Source organism: Homo sapiens, chromosome 1 (genome assembly GCF_000001405.40).
Source record: "Homo sapiens chromosome 1, GRCh38.p14 Primary Assembly".
In the NCBI taxonomy this organism is placed as follows: Eukaryota; Metazoa; Chordata; class Mammalia; order Primates; family Hominidae; genus Homo; species Homo sapiens.
In genome coordinates, this window is record NC_000001.11 from 240,782,078 (window position 1) to 240,809,105 (window position 27,028).

General features: G+C 37.9%; 1 protein-coding gene across 22 annotated transcripts in view; it reads right to left on the bottom strand.

The window, feature by feature from the left end:
- The window catches only part of RGS7 (regulator of G protein signaling 7), a 582,489-nt gene that overhangs the window by 7,336 nt on the left and 548,125 nt on the right, over positions 1-27,028 (bottom strand). For 10 of the 22 annotated variants that reach the window (NM_001374811.1, NM_001374813.1, NM_001374812.1 and 7 more), the window contains 2 exons: positions 24,063-24,249; positions 20,827-20,916 (listed from right to left, as the gene is read on the bottom strand). In NM_001374811.1, the coding sequence (NP_001361740.1) occupies positions 20,827-20,916; positions 24,063-24,249 (277 nt within the window). Of the gene's footprint in view, positions 1-18,563; positions 18,645-19,377; positions 19,432-20,826; positions 20,917-24,062; positions 24,250-27,028 lie in introns of all 22 variants that reach the window. The other 12 variants (NM_001374806.1, NM_001374815.1, NM_001374808.1 and 9 more) reach the window with 3 other exon arrangements.

Consider the following 27,028-nt stretch of genomic DNA (forward strand, 5'->3'; position numbering starts at 1 on the left):
TAGGCCATCTGGATTGGAAGATTTACACTTGGATCTATTTGTAAACCATGTGCAAATCCTGCCTTATTCACATAGTGGAAAGGAAAATGCATAAGCCCTACTCTAGTGCACAAAGAAATGATTGTGTGTATACTTTTGGTTGCTCACTCCTCCACTGCAATGTATTAAGTTAAAAAGAACACGATCACTTCCAGGGAAGTACACGTGGTACGGTATTTGCATGTCAGCCATTTTGGAACAATCATTTTCAGTGCAGTTCCTTGGATGCTGTATGGAACCAGCTCCTGCCAATGATCTTTTCCCAATTTTTCCAAATTGAAGAATCTGAGAAATGGTTTTTAAAAACTATTTTTTAAATTTTTCGAGACAGGGTCTTGCTCTATCACCCAGGTCAGAGTGCAGTGGTGTGACCATGACACACTGCAGCTTCGACCTCCCAGGCTCAAGCGATCCTCCTGCCTCAGCCTCCCGAGTAGGTGAGACCACAGGTGTGCACCACCACACCTCGCTGATTTTTTATTTTTAGTAGAGATGAGGTCTCATTATGTCATCCAGTCTGATCTCAAACTCCTGGGCTCAAGCGATCCTCCCAGCTCAGTCTCCCAAAGTGCTAGGATTACAGGTATGAGACACTGTGCCCGACCAAATATGAGACATTTTTATAGCTAAGTTTTAAAGTCTTAATTCCAGAAATGAAAAGGGCTAACAAACCCTATCAATGGCACTTTTAAAAAACGAAATTGCTTACAATAATTCTATGCGAATAATACTTATTTTTAACCCAATGATTACATATGTGTTATGTGATTTAAACTCTTCCTGTCAGATTCTAAAGGAAACAGATTATAGTGGAAACAAATCTATAGAGAAAGACAAATATACTCAGAACATAACAAAAACTCAAGATCCTGTGAGATTTTGTAATATCTGGTTAATGGAAATATGCTAGAAAAAGCAGCATATAATCAGTTTCAGGACAAAATAAACCTGAGACTTCAGCTGGCACGTAAGTGAACAGAGAGCATCATCCTAGTCTATAATACAATAATTACATAAACAAAGAGAGTTCTCTAGTGTGTCACAATAAAACTTCCCCTCAACCAAACCAATTCCTTTCTGTCCTAAATGGTTTGCAGAGATTTTGTTATAATTAGGGACAACACTCTCAAAACAAAAATAACAACCTATGTATTTGTCCTTAACTTTTCCAAGTGAGCTATCAAAGGTATAAATTTTAACTGACTTTAAAAACATCATTCTTGGCCTGGGCACAGTGGCTCATGCTTGTAAACATAGTACCTTGGGAGACTGAGGTGGATGGATCACTTGCAGTCATGAGTTTGAGACCAGCACGGCCAACATGGCAAAACCCCATCTCTACTTTAAAAAAAAAAAAAAAGCAGGGCATGGTGGTGCGTGCCTGTAATCCCAGCTACCCAGGAGGCTGAGACAGGAGAATTGTTTGAACCCAGGAGACAGAGGTTGCAGTGAGCCGAGATTGCGCCACTGCACTCCAGTCTGGGTGACGGAGCGAGACTCTGTCTCAAAAAAAATAAAAAATAAAAAATAAAAAAAAATCGTTCTTGGTCTTAAAGTAATAACAGAAAGTTGATGGTAAGGAGCCCTGAGTCAGTAGGAATTGATGAAGGCCAGGCTCTTAGCTATAGCCTGAGAGCCTGGGGCATTAGGGAGATGGAAGCAACTTCCTACATTCTTCTCCTGCAATCCCTTCTTCACAAAGGAAATAGAGAGAAGCTATGTTTGCTTTAGTTACTAAGCCCACTTATTTTATTGCTGTCATAAAAACACACAGAATGGCCAGGTGCGGTGATTCATGCCTGTAATCTCAGCACTTTGGGAGGCCGAGGTGGGCGGATCACCTGAGGTCAGGAGTTTAAGACCAGCCTGGCCAACATGGTGAAACCCTGTCTCTACTAAAAAAAAAAAAAAAAAAAAAAAAATAGCCGAGTATCGTGGCAGGTGCCTGTAATCCCAGCTACTCGGGAGGCTGAGGCAAGATAATCACTTGAACCCGGGAGGTGGAGGTTGCAGTGAGCCAAGATTGTGCCATTGCACTGCAGCCTGGGCTACAAAAGCGAAACTCTGTCTCGAAAAAAAAACAAAAAAACAAAACAAAACAAAAAAACACAGTAGTCTTTTCTAGTATACAGGACACTGAAGAGATTGAGCAGAAATAAAGGGGCAGATTTTTAAAGGGTGGCTATGAAACAGATTACAGAGAAGAGTAGAAAGTTATCAACATCTTTTAGATTTTTTTTGAGGCCGGGTACGATGTCTCACGCCTGTAATCCCAGCACTCTGGGAGGTAGAGGCGGGCAGATCACGAGGTCAGGAGATTGAGACCATCCTGGCTAACACAGTGAAACCTCGTCTCTACAAAAAAAAAATACAAAAAGAATTAGCCGGGCGTGGTGGCGGGCGCCTGTAGTCCCAGCTACTCAGGAGGCTGAGGCAGGAGAATGGCGTGAACCCGGGAGGCGGAGCTTGCAGTGAACCAAGATTGCTCCACTGCGCTCCAGCCTGGGCAACAGAATAAGACTCCGCCTCAAAAAAAAAAAGATTTTTTTTTTTTTGAAAAAAAATTTAACCTCCATTTTCGCTATCCTTTTGCAATTCCTGCTTGTTTGTCTCCAGCCACTGCCTCCGAGTCTCTCCCATATGTTGCTGTAGACTGGGATGGATATTCTTGAGTGCCTTGTAGGCTGCAGAGACTATGGAGAGGCACTGGGGATAAGAAAGGTAAAATCTTATCGTTGCCCTTCCACTGGTTTATGTGATCCAACTGTCTCACCAGATGCTCAACCCCACAGCTATGTTAATAAAAAGAACTGACCATATGGTGGTAAAATGAGATGCTATTGGACCAGAGATAGGGAATGTTTTTAGGAGAGTCTGAGCTAAAGGATGTTATCTGTTTATTATTTTACTCTCATGTTGAAAAATGCCTTTTCCACTTATTGAACCAGGGATAGGCAGTGCTCTTAGCAGAGTCTAAACTAAGGGATGCTAGATGTTTGTTATTTTACTCTCATGTTGAAAATTCCCGTTTCACTTATAAATATAAACATCTTTGCCTGGATTTCCAAATCCTTCACTACCTGGGTTCCGTGGCCTTTCAGACTCTTTACTGTTACCCACGAAGTGGTTCTTTGGCTGGCCCTTGTGCCTGCTGCTCTCTCCGCTGGTCACCTGTTTGTGCATGTACCTGTTCAGACCCTATCCACTCTTCAAAGATGAACTTCCTATCTATGTCCTTGCTAAAGCTTTCTAACTATCCCTAAACTCCTCCGGTTCCCTCTTTGAATTCTTCTTGCTGGTAGAACCTGCATTAGCACTTTTATATGCCTTCTTACGTGATTTTGTAAGTCATCTGGCCTGATGAAGTGATAACGGACAGCTGTTAAACATTAATATTATAGCAGTCTCCAAATAAGTAGTTGATTATTTGCAAGAGCTGAGCTCCTTGGCTGCAAATCTCATTAAGGGAATAAACTTCTAGAAATCAGGGTAATGAGATTCCAAGGTCTTGGGAAAATTAACTTTTAATTTGGGGGAGGAGAGACATGGTGGAGAGAGGGATGGGGGTCACTGGTCACACCCTAAATGTTAACAGATTGACTAATAGAATCAGAATATTTTCAAGTAGGCAGGTGCTAAGAAGGAATTCAAGCTAGGCTAGGTGTTAGGGAAGCTCTTGCACAATTTAAATGAAATCAGTTCTTCCAGGTAAACTTACAAGTGAGTTTGCTGAAACATAGTGAATAATTTTTATAAAACTGTGGAGGTGGGTGAGTTCCTAGAATGTTAAAGATAAGCTCGAATTCTTGAGAATTAAGATGGCAAGGACAAGAGGAAGAGGATTCTGTAGTTAGTTTTGAAACTGTCATATTTAATGTTGAATGCTGAAAAATATTCTAGTACTACGTACTAAAAAGAGATAGCTTATGAACACATATACATTTAAGTACTGGTCACTAGCTTCCTAAGAGAATTGAGAAAGAATAAGTATAGCCAAATACTTTCATTTTCTTAAAATATTTTTCCATAATAAAACCAGTATGTGTTCACTAAAGAAAATGAAGAAAACATAGAAAAAAGAGAAGAAATAAATATTACTTGAAATATGATCATTTACATTCTATTATGTCCTTCTACCTTTTTATACACAGATACATGTTTAAAATTTTTTTTACAAAACTGAAATTATACTGTGCATGGTACTATGTCATATTCTGAATAACGTGTGTATTAAAGAGATTACATTTTGTTCAATTACCCATGTTATGGATGTTTCTTCAAAAATAATGTTGTTTTACCAACTAAATGCATTAGTTGGTAAGGAAATCAATTTAGAGAGATGCAACCAACATTTAGAAAAAAATTAAGTACAGAATACATTTTAAAAATCAGATTGCATTGCACATAAGGGAATGTATTGTTATTTCAGTTCTATGTACATATAAACACACACAAATACAGTTTATACAGTAACCATATATATGTACACACACACATATACAAATACGCACAAACACATGTATGTGTCGATCAAATGTGGCTACTCTGGGCACACTGCCTATGGATTAGCCCTGCTCTGCAAGGAACAATAGAAAAATTAATATTTTTTAAAAAATGTGTCAAATATGGGTATCATTAAAAGAAACAAAAGCCAATGCTTTAAAATATAATTTTTAACATTCGTATAACATTCCAACAGTAGATATGTCTTGATACAGTTAAGAAATTCACAATTGTTGTACTTTCAGATTGTGTTCTATATTTGACAATTATATAATGCAACAAATATTTTTTATATGTGGGAACACCTGGGTTTTTTTTAGGATTAAACTACTAGAACTTGAATTACTGATTCAAAGTGAGAGATTTTTGACCTTCTGGCACATTCTGTCAAATTCTATTCGACAAAAGTGATAGCAATTCAGACTTTTATGAGCACTGTATGAGATCACCTATTTTCTTAACCCCTTTCTGATACTAGATGTTATCATATTAACAAAACACATCTATTTGGAGGAAAAAGTGATTGTGCTGCTTTCTGAATTTTACTTGGGTATTAATAACAATAGGTTTTCTTTTTTGTTTTCTCACATATCAATGTACTGTTTGTATTTCTTTTGTTAAAATTGCCTAAGTCCCTCCCTCATTCTTCTAATGGTGTGTTGCTCTTACGACATTATATGTTTGCAAGGAGCTCCCTGTAGACCCTGTATTACATTTTGGTCTGTCATAGAGATGCTCCTTTATTCATTTTAAAAAGGAGTTTACCAGATTTGAGCACAGGAACTTGCTTTAAACAAAAGACCTTCGGCTACGTAAGGCACGCAGCAGGATTTGCAGTATCTCTGTGATTGAAAAAGAGAAAGATGTGCTTCATAACTAAACAAACAATGACCTTCAAAGTGTGCTATTAGGGCAGTGGAATTCTGTCTTCCTCCCTGTTCCTTATGGTATTTTAATCAGTAATTTGAAAGATTAAACTGATGAAATTCTGATAAAATGTATGTATGATCTACATATGATAACCTTGGTTTAAAGACTGAGTAACAAAGAAATACTTCAAAAAATTATGTAAAGCTTTAAAAATGAGCTATAACTCACAAGATAAATTTAGTGGAAAGAAGGGTAAAGAGCCAACATACACTAAAGTGAATAAGTAAACAATGAACGAAGAAACCTAGCAGCAAAACACAAAATTAGGGACATGTAATCTCAGCACATGAGAAAAAAAATCCAATTTTTAAAGTATTTTATTTTAAGCCCCAAATGACATTACATGTTGCTCTGGTTGGGGGAAGTTGATGCAATTTTCAGGTTAGATTTTAAAAGTTATAATATATGCTGGCTGGGCCATATCTCAAATATTGTGTTTGGTTACGATTACGAGGCCTATTGATGAACTGGAACACATGTACAAAGTGAGCAAACAGCAGGATGAAAGAACAGGAAATTATTAAATGGGACAACATTAGAAGCTCACTTTCCCATTTTAAGTGTCACTCAGATTTAATTTGCTAGCAACATTTAAGACATCTTTATCAAGTGTTTTTGTGTTCAGCTTAATTTTCACAGAAGTATCTTTTTCTTTTTATACTCAAATTTCGACAGGTTTATTTTAATAAAGTACTTAAATGCAGTATGCCATATATTTAATTATAAACAGCTATGGGAACAAATGGAACAAAACAAACAAAAATGGACTCTTATACTATACAGTTCAATGGGTGGTTGCAGAAATGTGAGGACCTAATTGGACAGCAGCATCTCAGCTGTGACATTTGTGGCTCTTGACATTCACTGTGGAGAAAGTGAAGAGCATTGGTACATCTAGGGCAGTGGTTTTCAAAGTGTGGTCTTAAAATCAGCAGCATCAGCATCACTGAGAATTGGTTAAACATGAAAACACTTGAATTGGATCCATCAGAAAATGACTTACGTAGACTTTCTGAAAGATGGAGTCCAGCAATCTGTGTTATCATGAGCACTCCAGGTGATTCTGATGCGTCTCAAGTGAGAACTGCGGATGTTTAGTAAGGAGAGATCAGCTGGGAATACTTCTATTTGTGTGATGATTTTTAAACTGTATGGTTTTGGGATGCTTGTAACCAATGCGGAGCAGAGACAAAGACAGAATAATTCTAATGTAATCAGAGATGAGGTTACAAATCTGCATTTGCCAAGCCCCTGGTGATTTTTGAGGTATGGATAGTTGGACTACACTTAGAAAAATAATGAAGTAGGCAGGGTGTGGTGGTTCACGCCTGTAATCCCAGCACTTTGGGAGGCCAAGGTGGGTGGATCACTTGAGGTCAGGCATTTGAGACCAGCCTTGCCAACATGGTGAAACCTCCTCTCTACTAAAAATACAAAAATTAGCCAAGTGTGGTGGCGCATTGTTGTGGGAAATCAGGGACCCTGAATGGAGGGACCGGCTGAAGCCATGGCAGAAGAACATAAATTGTGAAGATTTCATGGACATTTATTAGTTCCCCAAATTAATACTTTTATAATTTCTTATGCCTGTCTTTACTGCAATCTCTGAACATAAATTGTGAAGATTTCATGGACACTTACCACTTCCCCAATCAATACCCTTGTGATTTCCTATGCCTGTCTTTACTTTAATCTCTTAATCCCGTCATCTTCATAAGCTGAGGAGGATGTATGTCGCCTCAGGACCATGTGATGATTGCGTTAACTGTACAAATTGTTGTAGAGCATGTGTGTTTGAACAATATGAAATCTGGGCACCTTGAGAAAAGAACAGGATAACAGCAATGTTCAGGGAACAAGAGAGATCACCTTAAACTCTGACTGCTGGTGAGCCAGGCAGAACAGAGCCATATTTCTCTTCTTTCAAAAGCAAATGGGAGAAATATCGCTGAATTCTTTTTCTCAGCAAGGAACATCCCTGAGAAACAGAATGTGTCCCTGAGGGGAGGCCTCTGAAATGGCCGCTTTGGGGATGGCTATCTTTTACGGTCGTAGCTGTGGGATGAAATAAGCCCTGGTCTCCTGTAGCGCTCCCAGGCTTATTAGGATGAGGAAATTACTGCCTAATAAATTTTGGTCAGACCAGTTGTCTGCTCTCAAACCCTGTTTCCTGATAAGATGTTATCAGTGACAATGCCTGCCCAAAACTTCATTAGCAATTTTAATTTCACCCCGGTCCTGTGGTCCTGTGATCTCGCCCTGCCTCCATTTACCTTGTGATATCTTATTACCTTGTGAAGCATGTGATCTCTGTGACCCACACCCTATTCATACACTCCCTCCCCTTTTGAAAATCACTAATAAAAACTTGCTGGTTTTGCGGCTTGTGGGGCATCACGGAACCTGCCGACATGTGATATCTCCCCCAGTCACCCAGCTTTAAAATTTCTCTCTTTTGTACTCTGTCCCTTTATTTCTCAGACCAGCTGACACTTAGGGAAAATAGAAAAGAACCTATGTGAAATATCGGGGGTGAATTTCGCCCAATAGCGCATGCCTGTAATCCAAGCTATTTGGGAGGCTGAAGCAGGAGAATCACTTCAGCTGGGGAGGTGGAAGTTGCAGGGAGCCGAAATCACGCCACTGCACTCCATCCTGGGTAACAGACTGAGACTCTGTCTCAAAAAACAAAAACAAAACAAAACAAAACAAAAACAAAAAGGAAAGAAATAAAAAAATAAAATGAAGTAGAGTTTTCTTTTTTTAATTTATAAATTTGTTTTTTATAGAGACCAGATCTATTTTGTTGCCCAGGCTGATCTTGAACTCCTGGCCTTAAGTGATCCCCACAACCCCTTGCCTCAGCCTCCCAAAGTGCTGGGATTACAGGCACAAGCCACTGTGCCCAGCCAATGTAGAGATTTTAACTAAGGGAAAGAAAAAGAAAACTTGAGGGAGGTGATGTAAATCACACCTTCAAGCAATTCACTAGTTGTCATCTAGAGGAAGTGCTTGTATTACTCTGCAGTGGCTTCAGGAAATAGAACTAGGATTAATAGCTGGAAGTTACAGAAAAGTGGATTAGGGAAGGGATTTCTAAGAGATGGAATGGTCTGCTGTCTACGGGTACCACATCTCAGATACTCAGGAGCTGCCAAATGCTGAATACCCATTTGTCACTGAGCCTACAGAAAAGATTCTTGCAATGGGCTGGGGATTGGACCCAGGGAAATAGGGACCTCTAAGTTCCTTTCAATTCTGAAACTGCAAAAATTTTATCATTCCCCAGATCTCCTGAAAGTACCTTGAAGATTTACATTTTATAATCAGAAAAGAGAAAGCTCTCCCAATAATCTTTTCTATCTCATGTTAGGAATATATTCTTGTTAGATATTAATATGCCTATTTCAGGTGAACAGTGTTGATAATAGGGACTTGTTTTTCTCCTTTGTAGTAACTGAGCCCATGTCTATTGGGTAATTTGGCTGATGAAATAGATGAAAAACTTCTTTAATACCAAAATAAAATCTGCATGACTCAAAGAGGCAAAAAACTGATGATGAACTTTTTTTCCCCCAGGAATAATAGAGCATTCTAGAGAATGTGCTTTAAATTTCCAACAACTGCCACAGCCTATTTTAGTAATGGCTTCTGCTGGTTGAAATTACAGGAATAAGTGGTGTATTTAGGATTGTCCAATGTGTGTTCCTATTATTATTAGGTACTGGCCATTGACAAAAACAATGACAACAGCCATCAAAATATGGTGCACAATGAAGAGGGCAGGAGATTTTGCCCAATCTGGGCTTGTGTACAGTATCAGCCAAAAACATACGAAAAATTTACCAAGGTGTCTGTAGATATACACATAATATATCCATGCTTATAGATGGATGCAATTTAGATAAAGATGTCTAATGTATTGCTATTTTAAATTGTCTATTTTAGTGTCATTGCTTTCTGGGTACTAGCAAAAATTATGGAAAAGAAAAAATTACAACCACAGCTTGTCATCAGTATAAAAATGGCTTTCTTTTCTGAAAGAGGTTTCATAAAAGAATGCTAATGAGTATATATGAAGCTACATGTGTCTTTAGACTAAGCAAGAGAAAAGGATTTTGAAAGAGATGACTTGTTGATGACCCAGGGCTGTCTAGTAAGTGGCCTCACAACTAGAAATAATTAACATATGACTCCACTTTTGGTGGAAATTAAATTTGGACACCATAATAAACCCAAACTTTACATCAACAACTTCCATTCATCTTTTTCCTAGATACTTAAAACAAATTTATAAAAATAATGTGCAAATATTACCCTTTAGACCGTTGATGGAATTCTGCTTAACTCTTTTTCATTCTATTTGATGCTGTTTAATTCAATGACATAAATTGAGATTGAGAGTTGACCATCTGCAAGGTACTGTGCCAAATGTTGAAATGCTAAGATTACATTACATAGAAGATATAAGTCCTATATCTCCTTGCTTTACTGAGCTACAATTTTGTACCATAATATGAGATTCAGATCATTTTGAATAATAATTCAAGTTCAAATATCACCAAATAAAATAAAAGTGATAATGCAACATAATGAGCTAATGGTCATATATAACATGATTTTAAAGTGAGACAGTGTGACATTTATTTTTCTGCTGTCAAGTCTTCCAGTAAACTTGGTTCAAAAATGTTCTAAAAAGTTTATTGGTGCTACAAGTCTTCTTCTTCCTTCATTTCTTCTATTTTGCCACCCAAGTTTTTGTTATCATCTAATGTGCAGATGACTACAGTAGCTGCTGATGCTGCAAACACATCCTCCTATCTCTAGATTCTCCTAGCTTGCCCTCATCTGCTGTGTAGATGATGATGGCCCACGTGTAGATCCAGAGCACAGGATATGTTCTTGATTACCTTCTTCTGTACTCTGCTTCTCTCACTGGAAACCTCCACAGTAGTCCCTGCCCGAATTTGCCTTCTTCAGACCCTCTTTCTTGTGCCACCTTTGCTCTGTCTCTCTCTCTCCTGCAGGGCCCCACTGTTTAGCAGGCAGGTCTCTTGCTAGGCCTTAACTCTTCCTCTCCCTGCCTACTCTGCACTGTTTTAAGAGAAGCTATCATGATTTATATTAAGGAAGTTCGTGGAAAGCCAAATCTGTTCACTGAACAGTTAACTTGCATGAGCAGAATGAACCAACTCAGGTGCAACTGTTAGTAGTATCTCCAAAGTAGTAATTTGTGTTCATATCTGTCCTTTTGCAAAGTATAAGCTTCCTATGAGCAGAGGCTTTGTCTTATCTATCCATTCTCAGAACAAATTGCCTGGCCCACAGTAGGTTCCCAATAACTGTTTTGTTGTTGTTGTTGGATATAAGAATCTAGTAGTGCTTGAATACATGGGTGCTCTTGGTTTGTAAACTTATCATACAGAGCCCCCAGGATGGTCTCTGGCTGAAGCCTCATAGCTACTGGCATAAACCCAAGACTTCATATTCATTGGAACACAATACTTTGGGAAATGCTGTAGAAACTTCTGCCCCTGGCATATGTAGCAGCAGGGGTGACATTTCCCACTGTGGGGAGTGTCTACTCAGCAGCCCCACAGCATTCCTTAGGAACCCCCAGGGCTGTATCGGACACTCTGACAAAAACCCATGATACAATTCAGAGCTCACAGAACTTGAGCAGCAACTTAAGAACTAACGATGCTGCCAGGGGAAAATGAAGATATATTGTCTGAACTCAATTAGGCTACAAGGTCTGATACATTGCACACCAATCGATTTACATCATGCTGCAGGGAAACTAAAATTGTTTTCTCAGGCAAGTTATCATCACCGCCAGTTTCAATAAAATAAGATGGATAGCCATATCTGCCAACTACAAAATGACAAATGAGATGGTTTCAGGTCCACAGCAGAAGAAAGACGAGAAAATAGTTCATCTTTGAGCAGACACATTTCATATGCTTGCTGGTAATATCTATGGTGGGGAAACTCAATGGTCAGTTTATAAATTATTTTCACTGAAGGTGTAGTAGGAATATATATATATATATATATATATATTTTTTTTTTTTTTTTGAGACAGAGTCTTGCACTGTCGCCCAGGCTGGAGGGCAGTGGCATGATCTTGGCTCACTGCAAGCTCCACCTTCCCGGTTCACGCCATTCTCCTGCCTCAGCCTCCCGAGTAGCTGGGACTACAGGTGTCCGCCACCATGGCCAGTTAATTTTTTTTTGTATTGTTAGTAGAGACGGGGTTTCACCGTGTTAGCCAGGATGGTCTCGATCTCCTGACCTTGTGATCAGTCCGCCTCAGCCTCCCAAAGTGCTGGGATTACAGGCGTGAGCCACCGTGCCCAGCCATAGTAGGAATTTTTAAGCGTAGTTTACCTATATTAGTGTATCTATAATCCCAAGCAACAGAATCCATAGCACTCAACCCTAAAATAATATGCACAAAGGCTTTCTTTAAGGTAAATTCACAGGGCAGAGATGTAAAATCAAAACCTTCCTTCTCGTAGGTTCCAAGTCTGCTTGTGTCCTATGATGAGTGTTTTGTGAAGCAGATAATCTGCCTCATTATGATGGGTGTTTGTGTCAGTTGAGGATCTGACTCACTCTGTGGAGCTCTTACCATGCCTACAACTTCATTAATATATATATAATCTAGAAAAAGAACTTTCTGAATACTCTAAGGCTTGTCTCTACTTTATTGTGGTAGAGATTGATATCAAGGGAAGTGAAAGTAAGGACAGCCAAGCTGTCTTTTTTAACCACAAAGAGTATCACATAACCTGACACTTAGTCAAAACTTACTACCTGTTGATGAATGAATGATTTAGAAACTAGAATAATGGTATATAAAAACAATGATATCAATGTAGCAGATGCGTGGATCCCAGGCCACCAGGTCAATTTTCTCTGTTGGGATTATTTATGGGGAACAAATCCAATGGCAAGTTTATATGTTTTCTTTTTATTTGTCCTAGGACCCTTTCCAAAATAGCCTATTTACACTAATGTGCATGTAGGTCCAATCAGTAAAGTCCAGAGTGTTCAGCCAGGAGGGACATGACTCAATCCCGAACAGAACCAAGGTCCATCCCAAACGTGCCAGGAATGGGCAGCTGAGGGACTGCCCAAGTAGATTTGACACTGTACTGCACTGCTCCTACCCTGGCTCCATAGCTGGGCTGGGGCTGTGATTCCCAGACGTGGCACCTGTATTATTCACAGGTTTACACTGTATGCAGAGGGGAGTTCCCAGATTATAGTTTTATACGTTTTATAGGTTATTAGAATATGGAGGGAAATCTCACACTAGATTTTACATTTAATAAAATCCAGGTAAGGCTGGGCGTGGTGGCTCATGCTTGTAATCCCAGCACTTTGGGAGGCCGAGGCAGGCGGATCACCTGAGGTCGGGAGTTCGAGACCAGCCTGACCACCATGGAGAAACCCCGTCTCTACTAAAAATACAAAAAAATTAGCTGGGCCTGGTGGCACATGCCTGTAATCCCAGTTATTTGGAGGCTGAGGCAGGAGAATCGCTTGAACCTGGGAGGCGGAGGTTGCAGTGAGCCGAGATCACACCATTGCCCTCCAGCCTGGACAACAAGAGCAAAACTCTGTCTCAAACAAACAAATAAACAAAAAAACCCACCACCACCAACAAAAATCAAACCAAGTTAAAAATCATTTGACCAGGGACTAAAAAGTATCCTTCAAGTTTTCAACAGTGTCTTAAAAAAAACAATATGTTTCCCGGAAAGTAGCTACAGTTCTTCACTGACTGAAGACTAATTGGTGGTGGAGGTCTGTCATTAATGTGTAACACACTGGTTTTGGAAATCAGGAATACAACATCTGATTCCCACCTTCCAGAATAAGTTATTTTTCCCTCTAGTGTATGCTCTTGCATGAAGGAAAAAATAAAGATACAAAAGAGATAAAAAGAGATAAATGGATACCTCTTCCCTTGTAAATTTACATTCCATTTAACCAAGCAGTTCAATTTTTTATGAAAAGAAAATCAATATATAACTTTGATTTTATTGTACTTTGACCTATAAAAGCAATGAATAATAAATAAGCAACAACCCAAACGTCCATTAATAGATGATCAGAAAAATTACAGGGCATATCCATTCAAAAGAATTTTGCATGGTTAATAAATAGAATCATGTAGAAAAATAGTCAATTATTTGGAAGACATTTACAATGCATTTTAAGTGAATAAAGAATGTTTCAAAAGAATATTTAAATATAATTCAAATTCTTAAGTATTTATATTTATTTGTGCAAAATGCTAATTGGAGCTGTGTCTGGGTAGAGAGGGTCATCTAGAGGTGAAGAAACTGAGGTTCAGCAGTTTAAATGATTTTTTCTTTTATTGTTATTATAATTATTATTATTTTTGCAGAGACGGGGTCTTGCCATGTTGCCCAGGTGGTTCTTGAACTCTTGGCCTAGAGCCACGTTCCCGCCTCAGCCCCACAAAGTGCTGAGATTACAGGCATGAGCCACTGCACCCGGCCTTAAATGATTTTTTAAAATTCACATGGCTAGAATATATAGGACTAGGTTTCAAACCTAAATAGAAACACATCAAATTCCTTGGCCCAGGCTCTTTTTACCATGTTACCACTTATATATAATCTGCATAAGGCTGTATTAACCAGTAATTCCACAGTGGGCTTAGATAAATCATTTAATTTTATTTAATCAAAATAACATTCTAAAGGAACTAAGTGTTGTATCTTCTTTGTTTTCTATTTCAAATAAGAGGATTTACATTTACATTTGCTCCTATCAACATTTAAACAATTGAGTTACAGAGTTAAAAACAGATTTCGGCTGGGCACAGTGGCTCACACCTGTAATCCCAGTAGTTTGGGAAGCTGAGGTGGGCAGATCACTTGAGGTCAGGAGTCCAAGACCAGCCTGCCCAACATGGTGAAACCCCATCTCTACTAAAATACAAAAAATTAGCCGGGAGTGTTGGCGGGTGCCTGTAGTCCCAGCTACTTAGGAGGTTGAGGCAGGAGAATTGTTTGAACCATGGAGGTAGAGGTTGCAGTGAGCCGAGATCGTGCCACTGCACTGCAGCTTGGGTGACAGAGTGAAATTGTGTCTCAACAACAACAACAATAACAACAAACAGATTTGATCCTAAAGATCAACTGATTTCAGGGCCAACCCACTCCTGTTAAATTTCTCTCACGGAGTCTCCACAACTTCTGGTCATTCCTTGCAGTCCCCAGAGCACAGTTAGGAGCTCAATCCACCAGCACAAATACACCAGGACAGAGAGAACGGGATAGCCAAGGAGGCATCATCTTTTTTCTATTGATTCTTTTAAAGTCTCTACAGATAATTGTCTTCATTAAGATAGAGTGAAAATATTTTCAAAAAGAGATAAGATTAGGTGACTCCCTGGGTGTTCAACATCAATACTTTCTAATATTCATTTTTACTTTTCTACTTTTGTAGCCCAGAGCCAGGCTGATTTAATTTCCACTTCACACAAAGACAAAACCAGTGTGTTACACATTAATGACAGACCTCCACAACCAATTAGTCTTCAGTCAGTGAAGAACTGTAGCTACTTTCCGGGAAACTGATATTGTTCACACAAAGACAAGACAGAAGGTGAGTCACACAGCTGGCACTTGATTATGAATCTTGATTGAAGGTGTGGCTGATCAGTCATCCTACCCTGTTTTTCCTTTGTTTTCTATCTGTCCCTCCTTAATGTTTGCATAGCAGACAGATGCTATGGTTTTTCTTATCTTATCATGTTATCTTTTCTTATTTTTTCAGACAGAGTTTCTCTTTTGTCACCCAGGTTGGAGTGCAATGGCATGATCTCTGCTCACTGCAACATCTGCCTCCTGAGTTCAAGCAATTTTCCTGCCTCAGTATCCCAAGTAGCTGGGATTACAGGTGTGCACCACCACGCCCGGCTAATTTTTGTATTTTTAGTAGAGACAGGCTTTCACCATGTTGGCCAGGCTGGTCTTGAACTCCTGACCTCAGGTGATCCACCCGCCTCGGCCTCTCAAAGTGCTGGGATTACAGGCATGAGCCACCATGCCCAGCAGATGCTATGATATTTTAATGGCTGAAAAAGTGGTGTCAGATTTGATGATGGTGATGAAGAAAATAATTTTCATAATTCTTAAAGCATATGAACCTTTTTGAAAGAGAATAAAGTCAACTTAATAACATTTAAAGGTATGAGAGGACATAGTAACCCTTGGAAGACCAACCTTAAGAGACTTCTCTGATAGCAAGAAAAATAAAGAAATAAAAGAGTAAACAAGACATGAAAAGGAGCTTTCTTGAGACAACAAACCCCAATGCGGGCATTACACAAATGTGAGTTATTTTTCTCCTACCCATTTTGGGATTAATGAAAAGAATAAGAATAATCTATGAAGAGTAATGAATTTAAAGTAAAAGAAAAAGCTTGCTTCGAGTTCCAGCTCTAATGCTCAACAGCTGGAAGATATTGGTGAAGGTGCCCTCACCTCACTATTTCCCCATTTTTTTGTCTGTGAAAAAAGGTGATACCTGCCTGACTACCTCCCAGGATTGTTGTGCATGCAAACAATGACCAAAACAACAACAAAACACACAAAAAGGAGTCTATATTTTTTGGAAAATTGAAAGTGCAATGCAATCCTCAGCTGTTTATTATAATTTTTCTCTAAAGTGCTAGTAAGTATTTATGAATCTGGGTAACTAACAAAAACTCCCCTGCAAAAGCTGGCTAGCAAAATATTTTTGTCTCTGGGGTGAAACAAAAACAACAATGCCATTTTTCTAACCTTGGTTATAAAAACCCTAGGCTGGAACATGTAAATCAACTTACAAAAATAGGCACGCATTGGAAATGGACTCAGACTGGGGAGGTGGGTATCATCAGGTGGCAAGGTTTATTTATTTTTTGTCAGTTGGGAGAATGTCAAAGAGCAGGGTGGATCCGTGGAAATAGCACTGGGGAACAAAATACATTTGGAGTCAGTCCCAGCTCCTTCCCTAACTATGTGACTCTGGGCAAATTATGCACCTCCTTTGACCCTTTAAATTTCTTACCTACAAAATGGGTAAAATAATGGCTATAATAATATCTACCTTACAGGGCCAGCATATGGATTAAATTAGATAATATTATAAAGCGCCCAGTGCAGAGCCTGGTACATGGCAGATATTCAATGAATGTGAGTTTTTCCCCATTATTTTCCTAGACTACATATTTGTTTACTATTTTCCCCTATTCCATTTCTTTCTTGGATACTGTTGACCTTGTAGCCTCCCTGTATGTACCAGAGCAACCTGTGTAGAGGATTCCTTTAAAATATTTACATAAATTCCATCTTTACTCCAGTAAGTCTATCTGATTATAATAAAATCACTCATTCTTTATCTTCCATTAAATTATTTTATTGATCCTATAAAGGTGTCTCATAAAATTTAGTATGTAAAGATCTAAGATGCTTGATACAGCTGCCGACCATGAAGTTATAAAATACGGAACACTAAACCAAGGGGAAATTCAGAGAACCTTTTAATTTCCTTACTCCATTTCTTCAGAATAACACCCAAATAAAGGTATTAAATAAAAAAGATTGCATTTTATTTTCCTGGATGGAAAAGGATTAACACTAAGCAACAGTGTCTGAAAGTTATTATTATGGTTTGTGTGTGTGTGTGTGTGTGTGTGTGTCTATGTTTGTGTGTGTGTGTGTGTGTGTGTGTGGATGGTATTCAACTTCTTTTCCTTCAGTAATTCCAGTTGTTTTTTTTTTTTCCACTTCTCTTTAAGAAGGTGGTTGCTCTTCTTGGTCTAGTGAAATCCTGCAAATTCAGTTAAATGTAACTTCTGGGATTTCTCAGATTACATATGGGCCCTCCCTCCTCACCCTAACACCCAGTAGAAATTGTTTATCTTTCCCTTGTACATCCTAACATTTTGTCTATACCATTGGGTACCTTTGAGATCAAGCTCTACCATGGATATCCAACCTTTTGGCTTCCCTAGGCCACATTGCAAGAAGAATTATCTTGGGCCACACATAAAATACACTAACACTAATGACGAATAATCTTAAAAAAAAGGTCTGTGCATAATTTTTATAACATCTACCACCACAGATAAGCAAAAATGTCCTTGCATTCAAAGGGTTGGACATGGCTGCAAGTCTATACTTTCTACATGGTCCCAAGACATAGCACATGGTTTAGAATAGAGGTGGCAATTGTGTGAATTTTGATTGAAGGTGTGGATGATCAGTCCTCCCTTCCCCTTGTTTCCTGTTGGCCCTTTCTTAAAGTTTGCAGTGTGTGACCATATGGTACTATTTTAAGAGTTTGAGAAGTGGGTTAGATATGATGTTGGAAGAAGGACAACCATTTGACTTCCCCTTTCCATCTTCCCCAGGTTACATCACTATTTTAAATTATATCACAGAAATTTCCATTGTAATTTCAAGAACAGTATATTCTGTCAGCATTACGTTTGAAAAGGATTAACTTGAAATGCTTCTTAAACAATACACAGAGTACCTCACATTATCTGATAGTCACTTTCTCCAGCAAAATCTTGGAGAATTGTTTGACATTGTCTTTATTGCCCCATGGTGACTTATGAGGCATGCTTCAGAAAATTCTGTATTAAAGAACAGAGGTTCCAATAGTGCCAGCCAAAATTTCATAAAATTTATTTACAATGTGATTAATTCCTGGAGTCCATCATTCTCCATCCCTTTAATTCATGCAATCACATTGAATGTTCACAGTATATATTACTGTTCAAATTCTTTCAAATACTCTGTGTACCGTTGCAATGGTAATTCACAAGTAGAAATGAGTAACATTCCCCACCACAAGGATCCTTGAAGGAAACTGAAAACAAAAGCCATTATCTTTGTTGAATCCAGTTTGCTCACATTTCAACACACATAACTCCACTGAACTGGCCATCACAGCAAAAGCCACAACACACACACACACAGCAGCATGGAGCTAAACCACACAACTCAACAGACAATGCAGACAAACTTGAGTATAAACCAAGATTTTTCTACCTCTTTTCATAACAGGTTAGTGCTGGCCCTCAGTGTTGGTGTACAGTTTTTATGGCATGGGAAAATAGGGATGTTTCTGCCCTATAAAAATAAATGTGTTGAAGGCTTTAGTTTGAGCTTACACAATGTCAGAAAGTTCCAAAGGCACTGGCACAATACAAAAAAAAGAATCTTACAAACAAATATATATCATCAAAACACATGGCAAGATACTAAGAAAACACTGGTAGGAAAACTACTGGTTTCTCAGGTGATTTATGCAACAGTTTTCAACACCTTCCTGAAAAATAAGGAATAAGAAAGGCAGGCTAGTGGGTCTCTGGTGGGGCATATCTTGTCACCAACCACCACTCATATAAAATCTTTAATTTTAAACTGCTCAGTAGATCATTTTCTCTCTGCAGAAGTAAAACGCATAGAACCCTCATTGTTCTTAACATTTTAAGCCTCAGGAAGGGCTAAGGGAAAGAGCATAGAAATACATGCACTATCTTTAATAAAGAAAGGAATACAAGGAATAAAAATAAAATATAAAGAATAATTATTATTCCTTCCTTTTATATGTTGTAATATAAACTTCTTTCCAAACTTTAATTCTGTACAGATAACTTGTTCATATATAACATCTTTTTCTACTTTGGAAAGGGATGGGACAGAAAGATAAGCAGAAAACATGAAGTTCTGAATTTGAATAAAAGAAACACTTTTGCTGTTATATCAAGAATGCAAGGTGGGTAACAGGGCTAGAAATAGGGAAATTGGAAAAATTTCATTGGACTTAATGATTCATAATTCCTCAAAAAATTAAACTTACCACATTCTGTGCAAATTTTTCAAAAGATGTTCTGCGATCCATTGAGTTTCCAGACTTACGTATGTGGGGTAGGATAGGATGAAGGGAAATAAGGGAAGATTAAAAAAAAGAAAGAAAGCAAGGAAAACAGAGCAGAAAAAGACAGGATAATGAAATGATGCAACACCAAATCCATGTTCTAAATCAGAAGGCCCATAGAGGTTGGAGAGCCGCCAAGGGAGGCTTCTTCTCACAGGACATGGGCTCTGCTTACACCAAAAACTTTCCTTGTACAAACAAAATGGTGTGATTCAAGCAAAATCAAATTCAGCCAAAATAAAGTGGATATGTGAAGCCTTTATACTGACATTTGCAGAGCCTAAATATTTAAAAATCTAGCAGCATATCCTCAGAATTTCCTCAAAACTTTTATGAGAAAAAATTCCTATTGACAACATCATTAATTCCATAGAGCATTAATGTCTAATAGAACTTTCCAAAAGGATGGAAATCTCATTCTATGCTGTCCAATACAGAAGCCCCTAGCTGTGGTTACTGAGCACTTGAAATTTGGCTAGAATGTTATATAATTTTAATTAACTAATATTTAAACAGTCCCACGTGGCTAGTGACTGCTGTACTGGATAGTGTTACTACAAAGTATCCATTTCTAGTTGTAAAGGCAATGGACTTTTAAAAATCTTATTAGCCTACATGACGATCATGAACTACACAAAATTATAATTTAAACTCAGAGTTTCAAGAAGCTATGAACTATTTTAACATTAAAAAGAATGAATGACGTTGATGTTTATGTCCAGATTTTCTCTTCCCTGTTATATTGATTACATAAGGAGTTATGAACAGAGAGACATTGATTATTAACATTGTTGAATAATGAGGTCTACTACAATACCCCCATAATGTGCTTGGCTACCATGCTAGGTGTATAAAATTCATCACAGGGATATTAAGTGATTCAGGATAAATGCCAAATAAAAATATTCGGAAGCAAACATTCCGACATTTTGTCATCTATTATTGAAAAAGGTGAGTCTACTTTCAGTTATGAGGCCTGTGGTTCAAAACATACATTCTAGCTTACTAAACAAAGAAACCTCTCTTCAAGTTTTTGACCTAATGACTTTGTTACTTTCTTTTCTTTATTGTAATTTTGATTCCATGAAACTAGGCATACAGAAGACTAACATGAAACATGAAAACAGCTTCTAATAAATTTTGCAAAGCATGAACATCTGCAGAAACAAACAAACAGAAAGTAATACAATAAGCAATAAACAAACAGAAACAACTTAAATGGCCCTTATAAAATGCAAAGGTTTGGGGGAGGGTCTTGGAGTATGTTCACTTACCATTAGTCCAATACCCTGGATTCAGCAGAGGTAATTACTCCAAATAATTATAACTGAGAACTAGGCCAAGAAAAAACAACTCACAAAAAACCAGTACCTTTTTCTTTGCCTGTAGAAGCTCCTGATAGGCACTGGATCTTATAAAACGTGGGTATGAATCACTTTTCATCAGTTTGTAAATGTGCTCCTAAAAAGAAATAATGGTTGAGGTGCTTCTTTATGATTTCTTGGGAAAAGTAAAATATCATGATGTCACACATGGCTAAAGAACAAATCTAGTAGCAGCGAAAAATAGTAATAACAATGCTGATTAGAATACCTTCTATTTACAGGATATTTAGATCTTCAAATTCATTATCTCATTCATAGATCATTGTTTAAATTGGTTTAGGAGCTACTGAGGAGGCAAATCACATCCAGTCATTACAAAAATGGAATTTGATTAATAAAATGTCATAAAATTACCTCAAATCAAGTTGTTGACTTATATAGATCACTAGAGAATATAACTAAATTTGCTGTCTCTTAAAACTACTCCAGGCCTGAAGTGGGTAATGTTGACTCAGACTGAGTAATCATCCTGGATACCTTTGGCCTCTACATTTACTGGGAGGGTGCCAACTACCCAGAAGAATCAAATCATCTCTTTGGTACAAATTGCATGGAAAATTGTCTTCCATACCCACTTTGGGTCAGAGCACAAGTCCAAAAATAAATTTTGTGATATTTAATTGCTAAATCTCCAAATTTGTGTGCTCTTTCTTATTACTTACCCAGTGACAGATTAGGTAAATAGTTGATCATTTGCCCCTAAGAAGTTTGCAATATTCTGTTTTGATGATGAATTTTGATAGACAAGTCAAAAAAAAAAAAGGAAAAAGGTACTCATTCAATTCAATCTAGACCCAATCTAGGGAGGTTCCACTCTGGTCTACCGCAGCTCAGGGAGCTAACATGTGCCTTGATCTTCCAACTCTAGTGAAATATCAGTTAGGTGTAGAGCTTGGAACTATTGGAGAGCATTCTGAATGTTCCAGTTTTCTTTTCTTTCTTTTTTTTTTTCTTGAAGAAAATAGATGTTTCAAGAAATGACTCCAGTTCTCTGGTCTTAAACACAACAGCAATAATTTGAAGTTACTTTAAATTCATTTAAAGACATTCAGGATTAAATCTCAAGACTTAGCCCAATGGTGATCTTCAAAGGATGTTAAGTTTGGAACTGTATGGGAATTTGTTTGAAAAGTAGAGCAATGGCTGGTTTTGGAGTTAAGCATTTTGAGATTCACATTCTACCTTGCTCAAGAACTACCACTTACAAATGGGATAAATATAGGCCAACTTTTTCATCTCTCTGATCCTTAATTTTCTCATCTATAAAATAGCATTGTTGTGATGATTAAAGGAATAATAAATGTGTAGCAAAGCATGGGGTGTGGATAGTAAGTGCTCAAATATACTTGGGTATATGGCAGGTACTCTTTTAAGTGCTTTCCTGTATTAGTTAATATAAGCCTTACAAAACCCCTATGGGGTTGGTAACCATTATGTCCATTTTACAGGTGAAGAAACTGAGGCGTGGAGAAGTGGTCACAGAGCAGAGCTGAAATCAGAACCCAGGCAATTTACCTTACGATCAGATTTTTTTTAAAAACCACAAAAAAAACTAGAATTAAATATCTGAGCTTAACTGAAAAAGAAATCTAGGGCCAAGTGGTATTGTTTTCTATAGAATTTTTTTTTCTGTAAGAAAAGAGGATCCTCTTAGGCAAGAATATTTTTAAATGACACCGATAACTAAAAAAAATTCTATTTTAAACCTCAGGAAGGGCATTCCAAACATTTTCCACATTGTTGGCTCTAGAAAGATGCTCGGCATTTTATCTTGGACTGAAAGAAAGAAAAATCAGCAGAGAAGTGAGCAGCAGGGCCAGAGTTTCTGGCCTGCTCTCTGTCCTGTGTCTCTCTAGAGTGTAATTATTTCTACATTGGAGACCATGGCTGAACCACATGGGATAGGTATCCAGTTAGCTGTTAAAATTCATGTTAGTTTACTACACAGTTGCTGATTTCTTTAAATGAAAGCCAAGGAGAAATATATTTTCTATAGAGAGTGGAAATAAGGAAGGATATTCGTGTATCTCATTCTTCATCTTCTATATTTTATTTTAGTAATGTGTGTTTTTTAAAAGGTACTTTTTAGAATTAATATTCTTCTCCAAAAGAAGTTTAAGAAGTTATGAAGTATGCACGTTCTGATTTAAAAACCAACTTCAACACATCATTAGGGAGTGGGTGCAGTGGCTTATGCCTGTAATCCCAGCACTCTGAGAGGCTAAGGTGGGAGGATTGCTTGAGCCCAGGAGTTGGAGACCAGCCTGGGCAACATAGGGAGACCCACCCTGTCTCTACAAAAAAAAATAAAAAAAAATTAGCCAGGCATGGTGGTGCATGCCTATGGTCCCAGCTACTTGGGAGGCTGAGGTAGGAGGATTGCTTAAGCCTGGGAGGCCAAGGCTATAGCGAGCCATGATCATGCCACTGTAGGTAACAGAGAGAGAACTTGTTTCCAAAAATAAAATAAAATAAAATAAAATACCACATTATTAGGAAACACTATCCCCTCATTACAAGTTTATTTTTCTTCTTAAGTTTCAACATTTTTTGAGAGAAGGCAGAAATTCAAGTTGTTTCTACAAAGGGAATTAAGATCCAGTTTGAGAAAAGATGACTGAAAATTTGCCTTAGGAAGTTAGAATCAGTTTTCCTTATTTTTTCTTTCTGTAGGCTAAAAAATTAACTTGAAAATTTAAGAAATGTCAGAATCTAATGTTTGATTTTTTTTTTCACCAGAGATAAAACTGGTTTGAGTTTGACATAACTTTAAGCTAATTCAGTTTGAATAATTTATAATAATGAATAATTCAGGAATGTCAGAGTCTTAGAATGTCTACATTGAAGATGCCTTAAAGATTTTAAATCTTTTTAAAAAAATGTTTTAAAAAATCTTTTACTGAGGTGGGGTCATCATTAGATGGTGTTTGCTCACTTACTGGGGGGACAAACAGAGTAGAAAATGAAGTAAAAGTTGTAAAATATTTCAAATATGCCCCTTCATATAAAAATATTCAAACTTAGAAAATATTCCCAGGTTTTAAAAAAACTATTCAGTTTAATGTGTCTTTGTTCCTTCCTAGATCAGTTAGAGTTATTTTACAGTTATCTAAATTGAAAATGTTAGAAATAGCTGCCATTTAGAATGAAAATAAAATGAATACATCTAACGCTCAACTTCTCGGAAGCACGTTTGTGGTGTGAGGCTCACCGTACACCCACCTGAGCATCTTCAAATGTGTATCGTCCAGGTTCCTTCACGTTCTGTGTGGTTTTGTCATAACTCTTGGAATCCAAGTTAATAGCACTGGGGGCTCCGGGAGCCAGAAACTCTTGCCATATTTCCTGAACTCTTGAGGGTACTTCTTTAATAGGCCTCTTTTTCAGGTCCTCCACTGCCAGCCAGAATCTATGCAGAATGTGAGATCGGGTGTTTACTCTGATGGCCCATCATCTGAAAATTCTTGTGACATTTACGGATCATGCAGTTCATCATGACGACTCACAGCCAGCTCACTTTCTCTGAGGGCTTCCAGTATCAGGGTGGTACTGACTGTGTTCAAAGGATAATCTTCTTTGGAAGATTATTATGAAAAATAATTATTAATAAAAATATAAAAATATTAATAAAAATATTTTAAAAATATAAATAAAAAATATTAATAAAAATATAAAGAAACATGAAAAACTCTCTCTTCTAAGTGTTTGTTGTTAAAAGCAGATCTGTCAGAGCCCCGTATAACACTGATTTTACCTAAGGAAAGTAGCACTTCTGACTGTTGATTGAAAACAAAGAGGAGTTTGAAGGGAATTAAAGGTGTGGGACATGGAGCCTCCAATTGGGAGATAAAGCTGTGCATTACACTGTGTTCTTTGGATGTTCTGTCCATTTCAGCAATGGGGGCTAGTATGGAGAGCCTTTTCTGTTCTAGGTGGTAAGGGAATTACAAAGAAGCTTTGCTGGAGTTAAAAGAGGCCTGGACATAAGATCAGAAAATGCTCTGGCTGGAAAAATAAAAACAATTAACTAATGTTAAGGTAATTTAATTGAGAGAGTTATGGAATGACCAAAGCAGCAAGCTTTCACATGGAATTATTTGAAAAGTTGAAATGTGTAGAGGCATCATTGCAATTCAGAAGCCACGGAATAATATATACTGACTTACTTCTGAAGATAGACTTATTTATACCATATGTATACTGAAAGAACCTGGGAGTGTGTTTTGGTTGATAATAGCAAGTGGTAAAGTCTAGTGAGAAGGGGCCACATTGTATTAATCGGTTGCATTTCTTCAATATTTTGCTCTAGGCTAGAGCTTGCTGGTTAGATCTCTAGAAATAATGTTTAAAAGATAAATGAGTATATCATAATTTGTTAATAGAAACAAACACTCTACTAGAAAAAGGAGCTGCTAGGACTGTGTTATCCTCCATAAACACTCTTACTGCTCTAATAGTAGACGAAGTCAAAGAAAGGCAAAGAGGGCCACAGAGACAGCAAACTTCAGGCTACAGAGTCTTAAGAGAGGCACAGGTGATCAGCAGTACCTTCGTAACTACTAAGCTTTAACTTGACCATTAATAAATAATCAGAAATCAGTAATGAAGTGCATGAGCTAGAATTAGAATATCAACTACTACTCAGTCTAGTGATTTTTGAGTTTTCATTTCCAGATTTTGTTTTTTTATAGATATATGTAGCAGAGGATAATCTAAGTTTGACAACGCCTCAAACAGGAAACTACCACCATGACTTTTAGAAAGGAAGGCTCAAGACCTTTCCCTCTTAAAACACAGATTTAGACACTGTGCACTCTAATAGGAATACTATGCGAGGCTGGGCATGGTGGCTCACGTCTGTAATCCCAGCACTTTGGGAGGCTGAGGCGGGCAGATAACCTGAGGTCGGGAGTTTGAGATCAGCCTGGCCAACATGGTGAAACCCCATCTCTACTAATAATACAAAAATTAGCTGGGTGTGGTGGCGAATGCCCATAATCCCAGCTACTCGGGAGGCTGAGGCACGAGAATCGCTTGAACCCGGAAAGTGGAGGTTGCAGTGAGCAGAGATCATGCCATTGCACTCTAGCCTGGGCAACAAGAGCAAAACTTCATCTCAAAAAAAAAAAAAAAAAAAGGGAATACTACGCATAATCCGAGGGAGCAGAAGTGTTGAAATTAACATATGCTCAGGCAAGTTCATGCCAGCACACTCTGAACACATCAATCAAAACAGTCTCTGTCCTCAAAGAATGAGTAGAGAAAAAGATAAACCATTTAATTGGCCGTAACACCAGGAAGTACATGAATGGCTCTCTAGGAAGAGAACGAACTAGACGGTCTGGGAAAGGCAAGCAGGAAAGAGCCCCTCTGCTGGGGCAAGTGCTGGATTGGAAAAGGGGGATCTAGACAAAGCTATTCTAAATCCAGTGACATCTGAAATGGGCCTGGAAATAAGCATAAAATATAAAGGGGTTGAGAAGTTAATAACCACACCTACACTGTTATGTAAGTGCAGGCACTGCTCTAAGTGATTCACCTATATTAACTCATTTAATTCCCACAGTAATTCTATTAGGCAAGTTCTATTATTTCCCTCATTTTAGAGAAGAGGAAACTAAGCATATGAAGATTAAGTTGCTTATTTAAGGTTGCTCACTATTACTGTCACAGCTGAGGTTTGCTCCCAGAAGATCTGCAGCAGATGACATGCTCACAACCACTCCCTCACACGGTCTTTCTAACAGCATCATTGCCTTTCTTATTCTCACCATTACTGTAATTATTGTAATAGCTTAATAGCATGGAGGAGCCAGGTGCAATGGCTTGCACCTGTGGTCCTAGCTACTCAGGAGGCTGAGGTGGGAGGATCAGTTGAGCCCAGGATTTCAAGGCTGCTATGAGCTATGACAGTGTCTCTGAACTGCAGCCTGGGTGTCAGAGAAAGATCCCATCTCTCTTAAAAAAAAAAAAAAATCCTATATCCTTTATATAGGTGGAAGCTAAGTAAGTATTTTTAATGTCTTTGATTCTTGATTTCCTCATCAGTAAAATGGGATGATAACGCCTATTTCACTGGGTTTCCACTGGATTAATTGGTTTCCATTGGATTAGTTGATTAAATTAATTCCGTTAATGTATACTAATGATATAAATTATATAGAAGGCACTGAAAAGTACTTGGCATA